Raw genomic sequence first — 24,328 nt, forward strand, 5'->3', positions numbered from 1 at the left:
TTGTTACACAATATCTAGGGGTCCTCTGAGTGATGGAAAGTAATTTGATGATTGTTCTATTATTTTCTCTGGTATCAAGTTTGCATTGACCAATTTATATTTTCCCAGGTGTACACATGTATGTGTCCTTATCCAGACAATTTCCTAAGTGCTTTATATACATTAGTCCATTCTAAACTCAAAATAGTCTTACAAGGCAAATACTACTATTTTAATTTTAAACACATGGAATATTGTGATTTCAGAGGAAAAAGATCTGTTTAAGGTTTGCACAGCTAGAAAGGGTTAAAGGGAGGATTTGAATCCAGGTGGGTCTTGACTCTGAGGACTGCACATTGCACTGTATTGCTGATCAAGTTAAATTTGGATGACTTTCTCTGTCCTCCACTGGGATTTAGGCTCCATTTCAATGCCTATTTGAACAAGTCAGTTTTCTCTAAACCTGCCCTCTTCCTTCATCTCTGCCTGTTATTTTTCTGCCTTCAAAGATTCCCCTTCTATTAGTCTTTTAAATCTCCATGTTCCCCACCCCGGCTGTTCTCAGTCTACAATTTTTTCTTGACATTCTAGCCTATTCTTGTGGTTTTAGATCTTAGTATTATTGATTTAGTCGTAATCAACCAATTCTAACTTCAATCTTTCTAATAAATTCAGAAAAATTTTTCAGCTGTCAGTAAAGATCTCAAAGTCAATATGCTAGATACTAAATTCATTTCTTTCCCCTAAAGCATTTTTCTCTTCACTCTATATTGAAATTCTGCTCATTTTTCAAGACTGCTCCTCAATGCCTCATTGAAGCCTACCTAGACTCTCCTATGCAAAATCAATTACTTCTGTCTCTCTCTCAAATATTGATAATGTGTGTAGATTTACAACTGGTCAACTATCTTTAGCCAAAATTATTATAATAATGATAGCTACCATTTATTAAATTTACTACAGGCTTTTACACTTCATAAAGTACTTTATGCTCTTTATTGGTTTAAATCCCCACAATATCCCCATGAGATATGTACTATTATTATCCTCATTTCACAGATAAGGAAATGCAGACACAGAAAGGTTAAGTTGTTCCAAAGTCCCATAGCTAATGTATGACAGAGCAAGATTTAAACTTAGGTCTGTCTCATTATAGGAACTAAAATGTGAGAAATTTAAGAATAGGTCCATGTTTTATTCTTGGTCTTCATCAACGTTTGTGGAATAAGTTTTTTTTTTTTTTGAGATGTAGTTTTGCTCTTGTTGCCCAGGCTGGAGTGCAATGGCATGATCTTGGCTCACTGCAACCTCTGCCTCCCGGGTTCAAGTGATTCTCCCACCTTAGCCTCCCAAGTAGCTGGGATTACAGGTGCCCACCACCACACCCAGCTAATTTTTTGTATTTTTAGTAGAGAAAGGGTTTCACCATGTTGGTCAGGCTGCTCTCGAACTTCTGACCTCAGGTGATCCACCTGCCTCAGCTTCCCAAAGTGCTGGGATTACAGGTGTGAGCCACCACGCCCAGCCCATTTGTGGAATTACTTTTGTGAGTGGATAAGTAAACCTAATAGCCCTGTAATGTGCACGTGGCTACACTGGCTTCCCATTGATATTCTTGTATCTCCTGGAATATGTGGCCTTCACAGGTCACCAGCTCCAACACAAGAGCCTTCAATCTCCTACAGGAGAGACCATCTGAGTTCTTGGAGGAACTTTAATGGGAAAAAGTCTCACTGGTGCTCATGGCCAATCGAACCATCTAGATAGCATATCGGATGGCGGATTTTCACAGGCCTCCCCGAGGGTTATTTACTGCCTGGGTGGCTTGACTACCAGCCTTTCTGGCTCAGAATCCTAATTTTGTCAGCGCAGTAAGAGAGGTTCTTCCACATATGTGTATGACCAAGCTGTAGGCCCAGTGTTGAAAACCGGAATACCAAGTTATTCAGGTACAACCACTGATCTATTGTCTGTGGTCCCTCATCTGACCAGATATGATTTGGAATTCAACATCTTTAGGATTTTACAAAGGTAATACAGTGCACATATATTACAACAATACCCACAGCAGAATATTAGGCAACACCATTTAATCAAACATTTTAATGTTTCTACAGCAAACATGATTATTCTCAGCAACTGGGATGAAGTAAGACTATAAATAATACCCTCACACAAGTTTCAGTACAGTTTTGCCACCAAGTTAATTCAGATCACAGTAGGTCATATTGCAGGTACATGTTGAAAAAAATTTTAATTTTCATAGTTTTTTTTTTTTTTAATTTGAGGGCTGAATAATAAAGTTCAGGGCCTGAAATAAATGGAAAGACAGTATAGAACGGTGGCGATGGGCCTGAATTCTGGTACCTGGACTCTGGGCTCCAGTTTCCTTCCCAACAGACTGAGATGATCTTGGGCAAGTTACTCAGCTTCTATGTGTTTGAGTTTCCTCCATCTGTAAAATCAGCCTGATTATTGACGTCATAGGATGGTCATAAAAATTAAATGAATTAGTACATGTAAGGCATTTAGACAGTGCCAGCCACGTAGTAAGCAGCAGTGCAATTACCTGCTACAGTCATTATCTTTTCCCTGAGACCCAGCACATAAGCAGCAAATTCTCCCCTTGGAGACAGCAGCTATGTAGGGAGATATATTGTGGCCAACTGCCTGTCTATTCAACCACAATATGAAATAACTGTCATGGTGTTCAGATTATTCAAGTCCTTATGGCCAGTGTATTATCTTTCCTGTAATTAAGTCTATGTGCAGAGCCAGATAATAATCAGGAGGTTGCTTGGTGAGCATGGGATCAGGAAATTTGAATGACTTGAATGTTAATAACATCGGGCTGAAACATCCTGACCCATCCATCCTGCCTCAGGGTCAGCCTTCTTCATGCCAACAGGACACTGAAGGTCTGAAAGTTTGCGGGTTACCACTCCCGCTCTTGAGACCATGCTAGGACGGTACTGTCACCATATGTGTCAGGATGCTCCTTTTGTGAGGCTTCCACCTTCTGATTAGCTAGTTCTTCCACTCTTCAGATATGCTAACATGGTAAGTCAGGTTAATGTCACCTCTGTTGAGTCTGCCACACACACTCAGGCCCCAAGCTCTGCTACTGCTATAAGATGACTGTAGCCATTTCTGCTTGGATCATTTATATGATGATTTCACAGCATACATCTTTGAAGGTGATCTTATTTCCCTCACTTTCAAGTTTCTGGGAGACAACTCACTGCATCTCCTATCAACAGCAGTTTATACTAGGGGCCAGGACTGGAAGAACATTGGAAGTAATTCCTCTGCAATACAAATGAATCTGCAGAATGTTTTCTTACTCATTATCTGCGTTTTCTTCAACTTGAAGAAGTTTTTTTGGAGTTAGAATTCCTGATGGCTGCAGTCTGGCTATAAGATCTAGTTACCCACTTGATGGGTTTTTCAAACCATCTATCACAACAGTGGTAATTTTTCCTCTCAATTTGAAGCATGCCAAATCCTTATCCCTTCTGCTTCCTTCCTGATGAAAAGCCGCTGAATCTTCCATTGATTCTCAAAAGGAGTTATGGCACTGTATTAATCAGCTTCTGAAGAGGAGGGTATTTATTTTTGAAATCATCATTTTGACTTCCTTAAGCATAACAGTGTACCCTTAAGTTATTTACTTGGTTGGGGGAGTAGTAAACTTATTTAAAAAGAAGAAAACATCACATTATTATATTGTGTAATTCTACTAGGTTCTCACCCCCCTAATTGCAGCAGAATATCTTTAAAACAAACGTAAGTGGGAGAAGGAAGGGCTGATTGAGGAAAGAATAATTGCAAGTACCTGCAAGACAAGTGCTTTCTCATTTTTTCAGCGTATGGTAGCATAATAGCCCTTTAGCTTACTCAACACGTATGTATTTCTGTGGTTGAAGTGACATTTCTGTTCTAGAAGAAGCGTTATTATTAAAATAGTACTAATTGCAGAAACTTCTGTTAAAACTCATGCACTGGGGCTGAGCGTGGTGGCTTATACCTGTAATCCCAGCACTTTGGGAGGATGAGGCAGGTGGATCACCTGAGGTCAGGAGTTCAGGACCAGCGTGGCCAGTACGGCAAAACCCCATCTCTACTAAAAATACAAAAATTAGCCAGACGTGTTGGCATGTGCCTGTAATCCTAGCTACTCGGGAGGCTGAGGCAGGAGAATCGCTTGAACCTGGGAGGTGGAGGTTGCAGTGAGCCAAGATCAAGCCACTGCACTTCAGCCTGGATGACAAGACTCTGTCAAAAAAAAAAAAAAAACCTCATGCACACCTGTGCTTCATTTCCTCTGCACAAATTTAACAATGCCTCACACAGGGACTAGAAGTTACATGCTCTGATGTTGACTATAAAGGGATGGACTTGGACAAGGCACTTGAGTCTCTTTGTGCCTCTTCTATAAAATGAAAGGGCTGAAGAAGATGATGTCTTAAATCCCTTTCAGCTTTCATTTGTTATCACTCTTTCTGAATTAACTTATCTAGTATCTTTCCTTCCTTCCGTTCTTTTTAATTTACCTGTCATCTCTTTATCTTTCCCAAGTATTTTTGAGGTTGTTCCAGAGATGGAGTTAAGCTAATGAAGCTTAAACTTCAGGATCCCTCACTGAACTCCTTCTTAATTTATATATATATATATATATGTATAATTTTATATTTTAATGTTAAGTTGTTTTTCTTAAAGAGAAGTCACAGAATTGTACACATTTTATGTCCCACAAAGTCTGCACTTGCCCCTGGGTGTGTTAGGAAAAAAGACAAATACAAATGAGAGTATCAAAAAATAGAATTTAAACAGAAGATCCGAGAAAAAGAATAGAAAGAAAATAGGCCAAACATTAAATGCTAAACAGTTTCCCCAGCTGAGCATCAAACTGAGCTCTGAGTTTCATGGAAGGCAAAGTGGTAAAAGGAATTTGTACATTGCCTAACTCTTGTTATAAGAATGTTGCATGTGTTCAAAGACAATATGTATTGTTAATATTAACAATTAATATCCATTAATCCTGAACTCTGAGAAATCTCAGTGGAACACTTTATAGGGGATAAAATCACCCTTTGACCAAAAAGTGATGTTTTCACAATGATAGTAAGTTTCATGGAAATAAGTAATAAATTTTCTGATCCAATATACATTGAGCAACTCTTATGTCATCAGACATTGTCCCAGGCAGATCCAACAGGTGCAGAAGGGAACAAGACATGGAACTTGTGCCCTCAGATCTGTCAGGCAAACACATTAAAAAAATGCAAAAACAAGTTGATAAATTGATCATGGAGGCCTGTACAAAATGCTATGGGATCACAAAGGAGAGAGTAGCTAACTCACATCAGGGATGTGGAGGAGGAAGGAAATAAATAACTTCTGAGCTCAGTTTCAAAGGTAATAATATTCTTTACATGGTAGTTGTCAATTCACAGAGAATGCTAAAAAACTGCCAACATGTGCCTAGACAGTTTTCCTAAGCACAGTCTGACTCTCATTCCTGTGGCTTTTAGACATAGTCACTGTTTGTTGTAAGATGGAATTGCATTCATTGATTCATTCCTCACAAACCCCAAAGATACCCCAGCTTTCATGAAATAAATTGTTGCACTTCATTTCTAGCCCTTTCCGTCTTATCCCCTCAAGTGTTTGAGGAATTTCTCCTGGCTTACCTGTAGCCTTTCTAGTGGATTTATGAGTTTATTCAATTCTTTATCTGTGGAGAACCACAAACAAGGTATTTGGACATTAAAATAAGAAGCATTAGAAAAAAATAATGATATTTTAAAATATAGTAGTGGACATCCCTTGGTGTTCAGATATTTTCAACTTCAAAGGTCTTTATTCAAATGAGCAGTTTAAAAATCTTTTCTAAGCAATTCCCATTTTACAGCAGAGGAATAGAAAAAATGACTCATCTGGCAGCACCTCAAAAAATTGTAAGCCACAAAATGAGGAACAGCCTGAATTTTAAGCAACCAATGTTAGGTAATAGAAAACATCTTAGTGAGAAAAACAGAATCTCCTAATAGCCTCGCTTGGTGAGGTTTGGAAACTTGGAACAAACATTGCTCCCCTGCCCTGGTACTAAAGGAATGAAAAAATTTCTGCATCTTTCCAAAGTATTCAGCTGCAGCAAATACTGCATCAAACAGTCTTGCGGCTTTGTTTTTCATTGTATGGTGCCAAACACCCTGAGATCTCTGCCTTGCATAATGCCTGGCCTTCTAGCACCTTGTAAGTTTGTAAAGACATGAAAAGTCTCTTCCTGCCATCCCAACTTCCATTCTCTTTGATGGATTACAACAGGCAAGCAGTGCGTTGCAATGGAGCAGGATTTTCAATCATGGAAAAATTTGGAACTTCTGCAATTGATACTAAAATTATGATGCTGCCATCATATCTCACTCAACAGAGGATTTGCAAAAAAAAATAAAGATTCAGTATCAAGTCACTGTCACACTGCAGCAGAGGTAGTCTACTGAAGTGTCAGGTCAGGAATTCAGCAGTCCTTTGCAGAAATCACGTTCAGCTTGAAATTCATAGGGTAGAGTTAAAACATGGACATGGAAATTTGGATTTCTAGTTTTGGTTGATCAGTAATTAAGCTGAAGCACTACAAATTCTGAGCATTTAAAATCAAGATATTTTTTGTGTTTCTAATAACTAAAATTAAGACTTCATTCTTTCCAGGGTTTAAAAGAATCAGAGTAAGTCTTAATTTCTTATTCTCTCCTACCCACTAAAAAATAGGAAAATAGTTTTAGGTTTTAAAGAATACAAAGCTAGAAATCTCCGAGCAAGCTAAAATGATTAGTTAAAATAAAACAAGGGCTGTTGTTCAAAGATAAATACTAAAATAGAACCTTAATGATTTTCACAGTTACCACCTGTTACTATACTTCAATGATGTGAAGAACAAGTCTGAACAACTCATTAACAGCTACCGTTTATTGGCCGCACACCATGTGTCAGACATTTTTATGGATTATCTCATTCGATCCTCACGGCAGCCCTATGCAGTAGATCTTATTAGCCCTTTTTCAGATGAGGAAACAGTGCAAAGAAGCTAGCAGACTTGCCTAAAATCACCCAGCAAGGCGGTATAAAGCAGAATTCTCACTGAGTTCTGTCTGCTTTCCATCGCATGCTCTCCTACCCAAATTAGTGGTGAAGATGTAAATCTCTGGCTTTTAATTAACAGCATCTATCATAATGTTGCTTGGTGAATGAGCTATAACAATAATAGTAATCATCGCAAAGATGGACCTAGTACATACTACCTGTCAAGCAATACTCTGAGTGATTTACATCTATCAGTTTATATAACTCTTGCAGCAACCCTAAGAGGTAAAAAACTGAGCTACAGAGGGCATAAGCAACTTGCCCCAAAGTCATGTGGTCAGTGAAAATTTAGGAGTTGGAGTCAAGCATCAGACTCAGAGAGCCTGGCTTCTGAGCCCAGACTATTGGCCACAGCACTATATTGCTGGGTTAGATACAGACTAAATTCATGTCCACATTTATACCAAGTCCAGCCATATTCTGAAATGGCTTCTCTACCTTAGCACAACTTGTGAATTAAAGTGAAAGCTGAAAAATCGATGAAGTCCGTGATCAATATGCACAACCTAATGTATTCTTGAATTATTCTGCTCAATTGAGTTTCTATTACAGAGTTTAATCCACACATCTGACAAGTAAAAGAATAAAAATGATGGTTATATGAAATTAATCAAATAAAATGCCACGTGATTTTCAACAGCTAACACATGCATCTCATAACACATTTTAAAAGGTCTATTGCATATGTGAATATATTTGCACGTGTCCATAGAGTGTATATTTGGTACTCTGTACCCATAACTTAAGCCTGGTTTAATATCTAGTTTGAACCACCTACAAATGTTCATTAACCTTATAGGGAAACACAAAATGTTGGATGTCAAAAGCTTACTTGGACCAGATGCCGAAATGAGTATTAACTTCCCAACTCTGATGAGCCCAGGAGTTCTAGAATGAAACAAAATGGTTTCAATTGCTGGAAATTGTGTGTGTGTGTGTGTGTATAATGTGTATATGCATATATATGTGCACCTGTATTTTGTGTGTGTGCTAATTTCTTAATAGTCTGAATATTATCAAGTGTCAAGTTTCTAAGATTTTTATATTAAGTTAAAGATGTTATGTACTAATAAATAGCTAACAGCTTTTCTTTATTGTTTTCTTTTTCTCCAGGTATCCCCAGTATTTCCAGTATTGGTAGTAAGTAAAAACAAAAACAAAAAAAACACCAAACCAAGTCTAGGCTAGCTTTGCTTTGTTGTTCACCTCCTCAGATCTATTTTCCCAGTGTCCATTTCTGATGTAATAGGGTATTTTCTTTGTGAATTGCATTTTTGTGTTGGTTTTCTGCACAGATCTGGTGAGAACACAGATAAAGTGATTATTTGTGCATAACTCCATGAACATGGCAGTGCTATGACTTTTCTGACTACTCTTAACCAGTGAGGGCTACCTAGACTCAGGTGCAATTCCTTAGATAATCATCATTCAGGAAAAATATAAGTAGTCCTATTTATCCATACTTAGCAACCAACAAACAAATTGAACTCTCTCTTAGACTGGATTTGGATGTCTGACATAATTTTAAAAAGCAGAAAATGAAAGCCAATGAATGCCTTGGGTATATGCATCAGAACCCAAGAAAAAGTCCATGATACCAAGGGAAGGGAATTTTGTTAATGCATTAAATTCTATGTTTTGTGAAGGCCTGAAACAGGCAAATTTGTGATCAGTAGTCTCTCTGGAGAGATAAAGGAAAAAGAGAATCTGTACATTCATTTCTCCTTCCTAAAATACGATGATCTATGTCTTCTTGACTACTTAGCTTTGAGTTTGATATAGAAAGAGTATAAAAAATATGTGCAGAATTTGGGAGTGAGAGTACTAGAAATTCCTTTAATAAATCTGTTAGTATGAATCCAAGCAATTGAAGAGAAACCGCTCTTCAACCATCTGTAGAACACTTCCCCAGTATCACTACAAAGAACTTTCTTCCAGCTATCATGGGAGAACCAGGTGTAGCTCCCGCTTCATGTGTAAAATAATGATGCCCTCATGCCAAGCCTGAAATTCACATTAAGAAAATGCCCAGTAACTTTACAGAGCAAAATTTTAAATTTTTTTTTATACATTGCACCCTTTATCTCTAATGGCTAAAATCTTTGAACAACTACTAAGTAACTGATTACAAATAAATTACCGAGAAAGCAAGATTACGCATGGTAAGCGGAGAGAATTTTCACTGTAGTGTCATCCCCTCACAGGCTTGTGTCATAGGTGCTGTGCCAGGCAGGGTGATCGCAGTGTAAATAGCCATTGAATGATTGCGATTCCCAGCATCCATCTAAAAAGCAATACTCTGATAATTTGGATAAAGCAACTTCCTGCTTCTTATAAATGCACAGTCAGGTGTCCCAATTTATAAATCAACCCAGTTTACTTGAGCTTGTGAATAGGCCTGGACACTGATTTGTTAAGCGCTAGATGTGGTAAATGCCATGAAAATTGGCCACTTTGTAAATAGAAGTAGTGTTCACATCCATTTAGAGATACCAGCCTAATGCTACAGCATCCTCTTTGTGATCTTGTTGAAACAGCATCAGTGTTAAAAACTTGCAAATGAAAACCTTCAGCTCTAATAGTCTAATTTTTCTGCTTTAGTATCCCCCTTGGCATTTGCCTAACTGTATATATACCCCACAATGTGCTCCTTTCAGGCCTTGACAATTGCATTTGCACGTGCATTTTAGTGCAACAGGGAAGCAAGTAGAAGCAAGCTGACACAGATTATTGAGGCTGCTATAGTGATCTGGCCTGTCAGAAGTTTCAGAAATGGATGGATGGAAAAGTAGTTCTTTGGCGTTGGGGTGTCTTTCTGTTTGGAGTGTCAGTTGTATGTTGCATGGCCCCTCTAACTGTACTGCTCACTCGACATCCCATTCGGCCGCCTCCACCACATTCCCCATATCTGAGCATCAGCAGATGTTGACCTTTTACACATCAAATCAGGAAATTTCTGTTTTGTTTTGTTTTGTTTTGTTTTGAAATCAGTGGTGACCTGAAAGGATGCTTCGTTGTGCCTTTGAAAAAAATATATTAACCTTTATTATCGAGAACCTAGGAAAATTTACTCCTAATAAAAACCCTCTGACTAAAAGTGATATTTTGGACTCTCCCTTCAATATGCCTCTGGCTGTTCCGCTTAGAATGCAATGGGTATTTTCTCAGATTTCCAGCAAACAGGATGTAAGAGCTTCCAGAGGTCACCCAACATCACACATGACTAGCTTACCTGTTTCCTGGCTTTTAAGGTAAAGAGTTACAGTAAAACCATCAAACGTGATTGTATCTTCTAGGCTGCTTTAATGGCATTCGAAAGTTCCTTCTTTGTGGGCTTATAAGTTGCTTTTTGCGTGCACTCGTGGATTCCTTTCCCCTCCAAAGGGCAAGAATTCACACGTAGACGACACTGCCTGTTCCAGAGGGCACGGGAATGGGGTTTTCAAGGTGCAAGCCAGAGAAAAGGAAGCTGTTTGGATATTTAGCTAAGTTATGGGTGTTTGCCAGTGCTTTTTGCATTACCCCAAAGAAGGAATCAATGACTATAATTCCACTAACTATATAGAAAGATACCATTATAGCAGATGTAACACCCCTGAGACCCCGATTATCACAGCATAGCTCAAGGAAAATAAATGATGTATATTATCGATGTAGATTATTGATGTATATAACCATCAGTTTACATACATATTCTGTATACACAGTGATTAAAGGTTTTGGGGCCCTAATAAATTTCAGTATAGATCTCAAAATGCCAACGCCTGTATTAAGGTTCAAATGCATGGATAGGGTGGTCATCCTTTCCGATCATCTGCTAAAAATGTTTTTGAAACAAATTTCCCATTAAGGTCATTCGTACCTGCTGTTGTCTATCTATTAACAAATAGGTTTCCCATAATCCTAAGGATACTTGACTTAGAACTCAGTCATTCTGATCTGCTTTGGCCATGGCTGAAAAAATGCTGGTGATATTGTCAGCAATTAATGAATCCCAAAATAAATCTGTAGCCTTTGAGCCTTATGATCTATGTTTTCACTTTACCTGATGTGGTAGGAATTCCTTCAGATTGCATTTTTTAATAAAGTGTATTATGCACTTATAAGTAAAATTCGTGATTTTATCCAAGTGAATATTTGTTGCTGCCGATAATCCAAAGTAATAGTTGTCTTGGTGTGGGTGTTTTTGTTCAAGTGATAAACTGATCATTACCTTCTAATATATATCATATGATCTTTGGTCCTGAAAAGCAAATGATTACACAAATTATGTTAAACATTATATTATAAAAAGCATAATTAGACCAGCAAGAATTGGCCTAATGTGCAAATACATTTGTGTGGGTGATCATCACTTCTTACAAAACTGAATGACAGATGAGTCAGAGGTTAAAGTTAAGCTATCCACAAAACAAAGATCACATCAAGGAAGACCATTTCGAACTCTTGGAGTTTTGAAATAAATAGAATTTTTTAAATAACACAAACAAAAGAAGAGAGATGTACACATTTTGTGAACCTGACTCTAGAGTATTTCCTTAAATTACTTTCAAATGACTGGCATGATGTTATATGAAGCATAGAATACTGAGGAAGGTGTTTGGCTATTCCTCTCCTGTCCCCCACCCTAACTTATTCAATTTAAAACAACAGTTCACTTAAGGGAAATAGCTAATTGTCCTGTTTTATCTTATAGTAAGCAGTGTCTTCATCACAGAGTTAAAAATTCATCTCTAATTTGATGTAATTGGCAAGACCATTAAACAAGGGAAGTGCTACCTGCAGGGATCTGTCAGCCTGTTGAGGAAGCCCAGAGATGTTTTCATACTTGAAAACATTTTATGCCAGTTGGAGACCTGGTAAAAGTTGTTTTCCATACAGCATCCAAATATTTTTGTGCAGTCTTGATTTATTGTAGAAACCTGGATAGTCAAGAAAATAACAAGGTTAATCATTTTCCCACCCAAGAGTTATTAATAATCGCATTCATGTTATACAGAGAGCTGCAGTGTTTGTTTGGGTTTTTTTTTCCCCTTTGCTTTAATACTTCTAAATCCCCCAAATAAAAGTTTCATTTGAATTGCCCTTTAACTAATTAGGTTTTATGTAATGAGGAAAAAATTATCAGGCTAGTGTAGCGATAGGCAAATTGCATGGTGTGCTACATTAATTTTGAACTGTTTGCTGATGTTCTAGAAGGAAAGCTAAGGTCCCAGGTGAAATGCCTTTGGGACTATCATGTACCCAGTATCCTCATCACAGAACCATTTCATATTTGTGTAAATGGCATTTCACATTCATGAAATCTTGTGGTTATCCTAAAATTGAATGAACATTAGGATATAGCTGCCTCTTTAATCCTGAAGAACAAATCGAATATTCCAATGGAGGAGCTGAAATAATCTCCTACTTAAATGTCTTTTTAAAATCCAATAAGTTTGCCAATCTTTATTGACAACAATTGCCCACCTTGAGCAAATTAACTTTATCATGTATTAGCATTTTCCCAGGTGACTTTACAATGTCAAGCCACTTTTTTTTTTTAAGTGTGAGCTGATATCTCTGCCTTTGCCAGTTATCTCTGTGGGGTCAGGAAATTCGTAGCTTAAGCAAAAACTTGCCAAGATCTCCAAAAGGTTTCATTTGATGAGACTTTAGACATGTTAACTATGAATTCCTGTACTGTGCCAGTTACTTCAAGGATGTGGCTATCAATTGAAGTCTTCTTGGACTATCAATGGAGAGCTGTCCAACTAACCATGCCACTGCCTAGGAAAAGTTATTGTAGGGAGGTATTCCCACATGTCTACAGAATTCTGTTTTACAAATGGTGAATCTGAGGTTTAGAGTGGCCACATAACTTGCCCAATGCAGTACAACCAGGAATGCCTATCTGGCTGCAAAGGCTACACTCATAACATTATACCAAGTGGAAGAGATTAGAAAAGAAAAATTGTAGATTAATTGCCTCCTACCCTAGATTTTTTCCAATCCATTACACTGTGCCTTAGAAGACCTGTTGATCCCTAATTGACCCATTTCTATGCAGGGAACTGTAGAGTCCTGGAGAAAAATCAGAGTTCATTTTCGGATTCCTTATTGTGTTGTCACCTGGAGAACTTACAAGCATGGTGTCTGAGGACAGGGATGGAGGACTGTGACCTCCCCCTTTCAAAATATACTATTCCTCTACCACCAAACATCTTCAATATATTGAGGAAGAGGGAAAATGTATAGATGTCAGGTATTTTATAGAACATGGAACAGTTTGTGAAATTAGCTATGCAAATTGTGAAGCATGCTTATGCCTACTCTGCGACAGTAAACCAAAAATTTTTCTTCATCAGGATAGTTGCTTATAACAAAATAAAATTCGATATGCCATCTCAAGGATAACTCTGCCAGTATCACACTAAACTCTGTTTTCCCCATCTGTTTAATGATGGTGTGTTTCTGATAGTAGGTAGTTGCTGCGAAGATGGTAAGATTACCTCCAAGGCTCTGGGGATTTCTCCTGTAGAACTTTGGAGTTTCCTGTGGATTTCTTTTCTTTTCTTTTCTTTTCTGTTTTTTGTTTTGTTTTGTTCATTTTTTTTTTCATTTTTTTTTTCTGAGATGGAGTCTCACTCTGTCACCCAGGCTGGAGTGCAGTGACGCAGTCTCAGCTTACTGCAAGCTCCACCTCCTGGGTTCACGCCATTCTCCCACCTCAGCCTCCTGAATAGCTGGGACTACAGGCTCCTGCCACCACACACGGCTAATTTTGTTTTTGGATTTTTAGTAGAGACGGGGTCTCACCCTATTAGCCAGGATGGTCCTGTGGATTTCTTTCTGGGCATCAATAATGCTATTTCCATCCCAAGTGCGGTGTGTGCTTAAAAAATTTTTTTCAATTAAAAAAAATGCTATTTCCAGATTTCCTGAGGAATGACAGCAGTGACTGTATAAACCCAAAGGGACCTTGTAATTTTATCTCCACCAGATAGTTTCCTCATATGCCAGGGAAGAAGAATGTTTAAGTAAGGTTCACTAACATCCTCACAGCAGTGGCACATCATATCATCGTGGTATCCTGTTTCTCACAGGTTGCCATATTTTAGAACCAAAAATTATGTAAGCATTAGTGTTGTTAGGAAACTTAATAAAAAAGCAACTCATCCACCTCATCATTTTCCGACCAGGCAGCCAAGTCTTAAATGAATTCCCTAAAGCATCTAAATAATGACAGAGCCAGAATTCCAGCTCAATGTCCAATTTCCAAACCAGGACTTTTTTCATTCTACCATGACATTAGAATTGACCTTCTCATTTATATAAATTAAACTAAAATATGAGATATTACATGGTAAACAATAATAGAAAAAAAATCAGAAAACTTTTTCCTTGATGGGAAAGTTACATTTTACAATGTTCTTAAAGGCCATCCACAAAATGACTTGAAAGCTGCTCAGTAAATGCCATGTGTGATAGAAGACAACTTAATATTCTAAAGCAACTCTACCTCTAAAGCTTTCTTGATGTTAATAAACTGTCTTTAGTTTTCTGTTTCAAGCTTGCTTTGCAGCTTGACTCACTGGGACGTCAGCACTAGACAGTCAGGTTTAGCAATTCTATCATAGTTTTCTTCAACTTACAATGCAGTGAGCTTTCCTTGGGTGCAGAAGAGCAAAATATTTCCTTCCAGAGTCCAATTTTTATAACCAAAATCTCCATTTTTCTCATTCATGAAAATTGATTTCAAGTGCGACCACTAAATTGTCATGTAACAGTTTGGGGGTGGGTTCTTAAAAAAATTGGAGAAACTACCTATTTGATTCATATTCTAAGCTGATGTGGTTCTAAACCAAAAGAAATTTAGGAATTACCATTTTCAGATTAAAGGTTAGAAATCAAATATTGTCCACAGTATTACAAAATAATTTGTATTGCTTTCTGAATAATAGTAATTGATAGAGGCCCTAGAATTGGATTATTCTCTAAATTAAGCTATATCTTAAGAGATCTTTTTAACTTATCAGATCACTTGGGTTAAGAACAATTAATACTGAAAAAAATAGGGGAAGACATTATTTTCCTACTTCGAGTCAGTAACTGTTTATAGTACAGCAATCTGATTTTTATTTACAACAGCAACCGCAAATAGAATGAGCTAACATTTACTGAATGCTCACTATGATGCCAAGCAAATATTAACTCATTCTGTCTTGACAACAATGAGTAGCAGACAGTGTCATTATCTATTCCATTTTGCAGATGAGAAAAGCTAGGCACAAAGCAGTTAAGGAATTGTTCAAGTGGTGGAACCGGACTTTTAACCCAGCCTGAGCTCTATTTACATGCACCATATCTTAAATAAATTTATCCTAAATAGATTATTTTCTAGGCTTCCCACAGATACAATCTGAAAATTCAGACTAATAATAGCAACTGAAAGGCATTTCAGATATTTTATTTTTTAAAGGAGGCAGTTGTGGAATAAATGATTTTGGTCTCCATACTACATATGTAGACATAGTCTTTGGAGCCTGATCAGGGAGATCCTCAAGACAAATTCAGTCAATTTTAACAAAGGTATGGAACCAGCATCCTTAAGAAGAAGTGATTTCCATAAAAAGCTATTCTTGAATGATTTGCCATTTACAAGCATATCGTGATCCTTCCCCTCACCCTTATAATAATTTCTCAATTCAGTTTGGGTTTCACCAACAGTCAAAAGGTCCATAGTCAAGGCATGTAGGGATAATTTCCTCATCACACAAGGAATTCTTAATCCACTAGATTCTCCAAATGGCATATGCCTCATACATACAGGCATCACCCTTCCATGAACTTTACTATGATGCTGCTAGGCCATGAGAAAACCACTGGAGTGATGAAATTGTCAGCTGAGAGAAACCTTAGAAATCTCTTATCTGGCATTCCTGTTTTACAGATAAGGAAAGTAAAATCCGGAGAAATTAACAGCCAGATAGCTCCTCAGTGGCGGAACGGGGATCAGACGTGTCATCTTCTGAATCCCAGTGCCCTTTGCCTTGTAACAAAACACCACTCTGAGACATTCATATTGACCCAAAGATTTTCCCTAGTTGATTTGTGAAAAAAAAATGAAATTAATACATTCCACAACAGTTCATACAAAGAAGCAATACAAATATTGTTGACGTATTATAATTCATTTCCATTGCTGAGAATTTTTCTCACTAAGAATTCTCAGAAGCTTCATGTTCTACAAAAACTTTCATTGGAATTGGATGTGATAAGATAGAATTGCTCTCAGACATACTATTAAAGTAGCCTCTAATATGCTTAATTTACTTCTGGGAATTAAATGTTAGTAATATTTGTCGAGCATTTACTACATGCTAAGGTATTAGAATAAAAAGTAAAATTACTCAGAGAGTAATTGGCTAATTTTAAGTTGTTTTCTTACTTGGCCTTGCAATTATAAAACAAAATACATTTAAAAAATTAAGATGAGATATTAACTTAAAAAGTCTCGTGATGGCCAAATGTTAAAATGTATATGTGCAGTCGGTAACACACTATAGGAGTTTAGAGGCCACAAATTTCAATATCCATTTTTACAGGATAACATTTTTCCTCCCAAGGAAGGCAGAGCACATAAAATTTTGTCCCACTGGAGATATGTATGGATTTGATCCGGATTTTCATATGATGGCTGCTGGTGGTTCTGAGTTTTAGTAGTTTAACGAAGTTAGGCATTCTACATAATGAAAATTATTTGAAAAAAAAAAGTCGAATTACATTCCTAGGCAAATACAAAGGCTTCCCCCACCCAAGAAAATATGTTAGATACACAATACAGAAGACAATTATATTCTCAGTAGGAACAGATTGTAAGTGAGGTGTCTATCTTGATAAGTCCATACAGTTCAAGAAGTCTCAGCAATTTGAAAGCAGAATGGCCTACATTAATTTTTTAAATACATATAAGAAGATCCATAAACTGGAACCTCAGCACCCTGTGGGAAAAAAATCATAAAACACTAAGAAAGGAGTTACACTAAAATACAGGCACAGACAAATATTTAAAATATTAGTATATAAAATAAAGTTTAATTTATAGGGTTATTTTTCAGAACTCATTTCTAAAATTGATTTAATATAAAATTATTATCTTTACTTAAATTTCTTGGCAAAGCTCAATAACAAAATAATAAATCATACCAGTACTTGCATTTCATCAAGACAAACAAGTCACTACTTAACATTAAGCTTGCAAACATCACCTCCACTTAAGACCTATATTTGTTTCTGCACAGAAAAAGATGGAGAAAGCTAGTTAACCGAACTAAGATTGTCTTAATCTGATACTAATAATACAAATACATTTTTATGTAAAACCACACCAATACTTTGAAAGCTTTATTAAATAAAACAATTTCTGGGAATACAGACAATATTAATTTCCTCAAAACACAAATTTATAGTTTTTCAAAGCTGATCATCACAGATCAAGTAGGCTTGTCCTATTAATTCAATATCTACCATTCAATATCTACCCATCATCAAAATGCTCAAGTGAAAAGCAACATTCAGTCAATTGACTTACATATTTTGCCTACATGTTACCAAATATGTATTTATTTAATAACACCTGAGTACAGATGTGGAAAATTATTACATTCTTTCTTCATTCATAAATTTTCATAGATATCATCAAGATTGCCTTTGCCTTTGTGGATATATGTATGAGAACACAGCGAAAGAGAGCAACATTTCTGTTGGCTCTATCAGGTCAGCTTTTCTAACAAATATTTAAAAAAGCAAAGTTATAGTGCAAGTCTCTTGTCTTGGAAGAATGCGCTATAATCTAATTATGGAGGAAACAACATGATAATACCTGTTTACAGTAGCATAGCCACTTGGTATCTATTTCTCAATTATCAGATATTTACTGAAGCCCTCTGCAAGGCTTTGCCCTTCTTCAAAGAGATCCAATCCAATTACAGAGATGAGAAATCGACCTATACAATTTTAACTGGCAATATTAAAACTCATGCCTGTCCACATATCGGTGAGAAAACAGGAACACTGGAAGTAACAGGTTACAGAAATTTAGAGCCAAGAGCCATCCTTATGGACCTGGGTGGTACCAAAGGACAACACAAGAGATGTGGTTTTGAGACTGGACTCAATAGATGGTAGGATTTTCATCATAAAATAGCTGCTTTAATAGTCATGCCCATGCACCTTCACAAAAATAGTTTAAAAACATTAAATCCTAGCCTGGCTCTTCTGCCTTCCATAACTGGAAGACACAAATAATACCAAGATATAAATAATACCAGTTCTTAAATTAATTAATGCTTTTATTTATTTCTGCATTGAAACCAATAACTCTAGGAACATATTTTGAGGTAAAGGCATCATGAAAACACATACACACCCATACAAACAAACCTTAAATACAACTGGAAGCATCTTGGACTTTTCTCCATAAGCCAAAACCACCAGTTTTCCCTCTTTCCTTTTCTGAGAAACTACACATATAAAAATAGGAAATATATCCACTCCTTTTCAGAGATAATGGCTCACACTTAAAACATACCCCGAAGAATCTATCATGAAAGACGAATGCAACCAGTTCATATCTGTAAATATAAATTGAGGAGAATGGAATCCTCAGGTGAGAAATTATTTCTTTAGTGTTATCTTCTAGTTTCAGGCACCAGCTTTACATAATGGTTTGGATTGCTGAAGTCCTTATTTGTATTTTTGTGTGTGTGTAAGAACACTCTACCTTATTTTAAAAGTAAATGTGTAGCTTTGGTAGGGAAGTAGCTATATATTTAATGTCCATTCAATGTTTTGGGAATCATCAATTGCTTGCTCTTGTTTGATGTGGGAGTCATGTTTTGTTTAAGTGCATCACAGCCAAGTTAAAGAGCAGATGTGTGGTTTGTGTCTTTATCCATATAATTTTCTGTTTAGACCAAATGACATTATAGCTGAAAATAACATACCCTGATTTTTCCTGATGCGTGCAGATCCTCCAAAGTTTAATAGGATATGGCCGAATATTTCTTCCCTTGAGGTTTCTAACCCAAAACAAGGTAGGAGCATGTAAAATTCCTACGGACATAAAATCCCACATGTTTGGGGGAAAATCCTATATGCCATTTTTAGCACAAAATAAGAGCATTATCATGAATGCTATGTCTTTGAAAGAATCATAATTCAATCTTTTTTTCTAATATGAAGAGTGTCCCAAAAATATTAGAGTGAAAGATGAAGGGGAAAATTAGATGGCATGGAAGTTAAAAAGCCCTTTACCAGATTACATTGAAGGTCAGTCAGTCCCAGGAGAAGCCTAGACTTCTGTTACCACCACAGTGTGGAGGACAAACAAGACTTAAAAATGTGTGAGTGGCACAGGCATCCTTTCAATGTCTTCCTCTTATTTTTAAGTCAACCAACTGGTACCTCAGTTGTACTGAGGGTCTGGGTAAATACATAGAGGTAGTATTGTGACACCTAACAGATCTGTTTTCGCTGACTATTGCTCCATATTGACTTGCAAAAATTTGGAGCAATCTGTCTCTTTCCCTTCCTCCTTTTTCCTGTCTTCCTCCCTCCCTTTAGCCTCTCTCACACACCCTTTCTCACTCCCTGTCTCCTCTCTCCCTCTCCCCGCTACCTCCTCCCTCCTCTCTCTCTCTCTCTCTCTGTCTTTCACATCACAGTAAATTTTCCTTGTTGGAACTTTTCCTTTTATCTTCTTTATCAATTAACATTCATGTGTTCCAGCATTTAGAGCAATCTGTTCTCTTTCTGTCCTTAGAGCAGTAATTATTTTCTGACTCCTAATGTCAAAGAAGAAAAAGAAAAAAGAAAAAAGAAAACAACACTGATAGACAGAAATGTGATTACGCAGGAAGAAAGAGAACTTTTAAAGGCTGAGCAATAAACTTCATAAGCTGCAGTGTAATGTTAAATTTATATTAACATCTAGCCTATAGATATATATAGTCATGTATAAATAGGAATTTATTTTAATATAGTATTGTATTATTTTGCCTTCTTCCTTCTTCAAAAAAAAAAAAAAGGCACATCTTTGGCTTCCACCTTCCTTAGCTATATACAGGATGTTCCTTTTAAACTCTAATGAATACAGATGGAAAAGGAAATGAGCAAAAGGAGGAACCAGGAAATAGCTGCTAAGCAAAACAAAATATATTAGTAATTTGTTGAGGAGTCAAATTGGAAGGGCTGCATTTTCAGTCCTTGATCAGAGTGATGAAATCTAGACTGTCCTAGATACATATATTACTAGCAAATAGAATTATCTTAATCATCTGCTCCAAATGAATTTTTTCAAGTTTCTGCATACATATATGAAAGAAGAAATACAGATCAAGCTTGCCCCTATTAGTATAATTCTAGGAGGATTCAGAAGAGGTTTAGTGGCTTTATTCCTTGGCAAGTTCAATGACAGCATCTTCAGTGAAATGTCACTCAGTATTTCCTATTGAATTTCATAGTTCACAAATTATACAACACAGGCTCTAAGACAACACTTCTCCACAGTGAGTTTTGAGCTGAACAAGATTATGCATTGTTCAAAACCTGAAATAGGCCCATTTAATTATTTTGCTGTGCTGTCTGTGAGAGTCACAGGACAAAACACTTTCAGAAATATCATTATGTAATACCAGTTGCACTTTCTTAGAATGTGGATAATGAGTTCAAATGAATCTATTGAGAAGCAGCACAGTTGAGCAAAGTTCTTAAATTCTGAAATTTTAGCGAAAGGTGCACTTTGTAGCAGAGGCCAGTTCTATGCAGCCATAATTTATCTTGTCAGCATCTGCAAAGAACATCAGGCTCTGTTCTGTTTTGGCTATTTTCACAAGCAACTCTTCATGAATAATTGGAAAAGAAATGGCAGGCAAACATAGAGAGAAATCTCTGCCATTAACAAGCTGATATCATCAAAAAGGTAACAAATGCTGAGAAGGCTACAACTTTTAAAGGTATATGTGTTCAAGATGACTCTGAGATAGGCCCAAATGCTGCTGAATGGCTGACTATTGGGACTGACTTATGTTCTAGGATGCCTAATTAGTTCAACAAAAATAGTCTAAATGGTGTATATGTCGAATAGTTTATCATGACACAGAATGTCATGGTGAACCCAGGCAATGATAATGTCAACTGACAAGACAACTCCTACTTTAAAAGATTGACAGTAGGGGATCCTACTATCCATATTGTTATGGTAACAATCCTTGCTTCACTGGATTCTTGATTTAAATGGTAATGATTTTTCCCTCTGAAAAGAAAACTTCTAAATTGTATTACTGACAATGTTGAACCATTTTCAGCCAAATACAAGCCTTACTTTGTGATTGAAACAAACTCCTAGAAACAACAGATACAAATAGTCTCTTAATTTAGGGCTACTTTTCAAGTGGGTTGGTGATAAGTTATTACAGTTTGAACGTTTCACTATTGTTTCTAATTTACTGTTCATTCTTTTAAACCTATCCAGTTGCTCCCAAATTAGCTTTGTCAACAGTTTCTTCTGTTCAAGTTGCAAACCACAAGAGAGGTAGGAATTCTTGGATTCATACAGTGATTTCATGGTGTTATGTGTTGTGAAACATTGCACTGTATGAATCTGGAATATCTGTGAAGTGTACCCATCAGCTTATTGGTGAGGCATGTTGACTAATATCAATCAATGCATCGAATAGTACTGAGAATCATCTGTAAGAAAAAAAAATGCTTCACTCAGAAACTTGACTGCAATTAAAAATGTTACATTTGTTTTCTGAAAGATTCATGTGTGAATAAGAATTACAATGGTTGAGGTTCCTGTTTAGAACACGAATGTTAGAGCACTATCATGGATACTCACTTGCATTGAAAATAAGGAAACCCACTTACAGTGAGTTTCAAGGATGCTTTTCATGAGACCAGAAAGGCAGGTTCCATGTATGGTGCCCATTTCACTTTGTGACAAATGAAACACCTTGGAATTTATGCTTCCAAAAAATTGTTTCGAATAACTTTGAAAAACACAAGTGAAGATCTGCACTGGATTAAGTGTTGCTTAGGATCCAAAAATAATAGTTATATTACTTTGTTTAAATGAAAGTGAGCAGCATCTCATCTGTGACTCATGAATGGCCCATTCCAGCTAGCATCTGTCATTCACAGAATGAAGATTTTTCAGGAAACATGAAGACTTCTGTTTTTATTTCACCATTTTTTCTTTAAATGTCCTGTGTAACAGGTGTGTCTTGTTTTCCACCCTTGACTGTTGGGCATATGTCACGTTTTAGTTTTGTTTTTTGTTTTTTCATAAAACACCTCTTACAAAGAAATGCATTTATTAATAAAATCTGAACTTAGTTTGACCCATTTGGTGAAAATGACCATAATGTTTTCCTATTCTTTATTGAATTTAGTCATTTCCTAGATTTTAATCAATGTTGAATTTGTCCTTCCATGGCATATAGAGAAAAAGTGGAAACTGGTCAGGAAATGGGAAAAGGGAAACCAAGAGTATTTAAACCATATGTCAAAATTTTCTCAAATGTGCTTTTAACCGTGGAACATAGAAGATGCCAATTTGGGTTGAGGGGAACCCAATTAGGTTTGAAATTTTTGGAAATAAGTCCTGTATGAGAAGAGCAGATGCAGGCTCAGAGGGTAACAAATCAATTTGGGTATGTGGTGTGTCATATAGGCAGTCACTGAAGCCATCATAGGGATGCCATATGGAAAGAAACAAAGGAGGTGAAGGAGAAAGGAAGGAAAAAGCACATGCAAAGTTCATCTCTTTTCTGTCATGTCAAGCATGCTAGATATATAAGAGGCCTCTGAACCTGGAATTTGAACCTGCATCTCTAGTTTCTTGAGGACACAGCACCAATGAGGTCCAGACACATTCCTGGGGGCAGGGAGAAGCTACCCAATGAGGTAGACTTACCAGAGACAAATTCACATCATCGTCAAATGATATGTGTGGAAGAGCTTCAACAGCTACATAAGGATGCAAGACAGGATGGTGGGTGGGGAAAAGACAAGGAAAATGCTAGAGCCTCTTAATTCCCAGAATCACTCCATTTAATGCAGTGAAGGGAAAATTCTTCTTAGAGTTCCAACTCCTTCACCTTTGAGGTCTTTTTCTCAAATTCTTTCTTTTTGAATGTCTAAAGTGAATTTTAATCAGCTCTGGATTTGAATTAGCTTTCCTCATTTGGCCAAAAAAAAATCTACCTGTTCTAATTGTGCCACATTCATTGTATTTTATGTTATATTTACAGAGACAATTTACTAATGTAATTATAGGCAACATGGGGAACAGTAAAAACGAGGATGCAAAGGAGAAATTGAATCCCCTCCTCTTAGTAACATTCTTTTTCTTTCATTCTCTGTGTCCAACCTCTTGATTTCCTGGAAATCTCATCTGCCCAGGTCTTCCCCAGCCAGTGTCAGTCAAAAGGAACCTTTTAAACCTTAGAGGGGACTTGGTCCTTTCCTTATCTAGAAAGTCAACTTTGAACCCTTCCCCTTGTAAAACACCTCTAGCCTTCATTGCTCTTAACTGTCTAGGTACTAAGTACTTTATCACAACTGCCTTCTATGTTTCAATATATCATATATATTACACATATATAGTATTTTTTCTATCTTCCCACTAGAAGAATAGTACTCAATGGGGATGTGGGTGGATTTTGCCCCCCAGGGGACATTTGGCAATGTCTGGAGAAATTTTTGTTTGTCACAGTTTGGGGGTTGCTACCACATCTAGTCATCTAGTCCGTAGAGGGCCCAGGGATGCATCTGAAAAGCCTACAATGCACAGGACAGCCCCATACAACAAAGTTATTTGGCCCAAAATGGCAATCGTGCCAAGGTTGAGAAACCCCACACTAGACTCTGAAGGCCTGGATCGCATTCCCTTTGTCTTCTGGTACATGATGGCTGTACGTGGTACAGGGTAGTTCTCAATAAATATGTGTTGCCAATGGTTGCCATGCCACATTGTGTATACATACAGCTAAAGACCCCCTTTAGCTTTGCTTATACAACAGTAATAAAAGTTGTCTGAAATGCAATTTGACATTAAAAACTATATAAAACCACAGCAATTTTCAGAAACCTGCTTTTTCTCTGCCTAAGCTGATCTGTTAATAGACATGTAGTGAACTCTCAGCTAAAATAATCA

At 36.9% G+C, this 24,328-nt stretch overlaps 1 protein-coding gene across 18 annotated transcripts in view, besides 1 other annotated feature; it reads left to right on the forward strand.

Annotated features, from left to right (window-relative positions):
- Positions 1 to 24,328, forward strand: part of NTNG1 (netrin G1) — a 344,836-nt gene that overhangs the window by 259,356 nt on the left and 61,152 nt on the right. For 10 of the 18 annotated variants that reach the window (NM_001372167.1, XM_047449447.1, NM_014917.4 and 7 more), the window contains exon 5: positions 8,239 to 8,265. In NM_001372167.1, coding sequence (NP_001359096.1) covers positions 8,239 to 8,265 — 27 coding nt within the window. Of the gene's footprint in view, positions 1 to 8,238; positions 11,238 to 19,136; positions 19,217 to 21,640; positions 21,701 to 24,328 lie in introns of those variants that run through there. The other 8 variants (XM_017000683.3, NM_001372169.1, NM_001113228.3 and 5 more) reach the window with 4 other exon arrangements.
- Positions 21,039 to 21,540: an enhancer, noted in NCBI's record as "NANOG hESC enhancer chr1:107963104-107963605 (GRCh37/hg19 assembly coordinates)". NCBI's record gives its function as "activates a minimal SCP1, AML or CMV promoter by ChIP-STARR-seq in naive H9 embryonic stem cells {active_cell/tissue: H9 hESC(naive)}" and the evidence as "EXISTENCE:reporter gene assay evidence [ECO:0000049][PMID:30033119]".

Source organism: Homo sapiens, chromosome 1 (assembly GCF_000001405.40).
Source record: "Homo sapiens chromosome 1, GRCh38.p14 Primary Assembly".
NCBI lineage: Eukaryota > Metazoa > Chordata > Mammalia > Primates > Hominidae > Homo > Homo sapiens.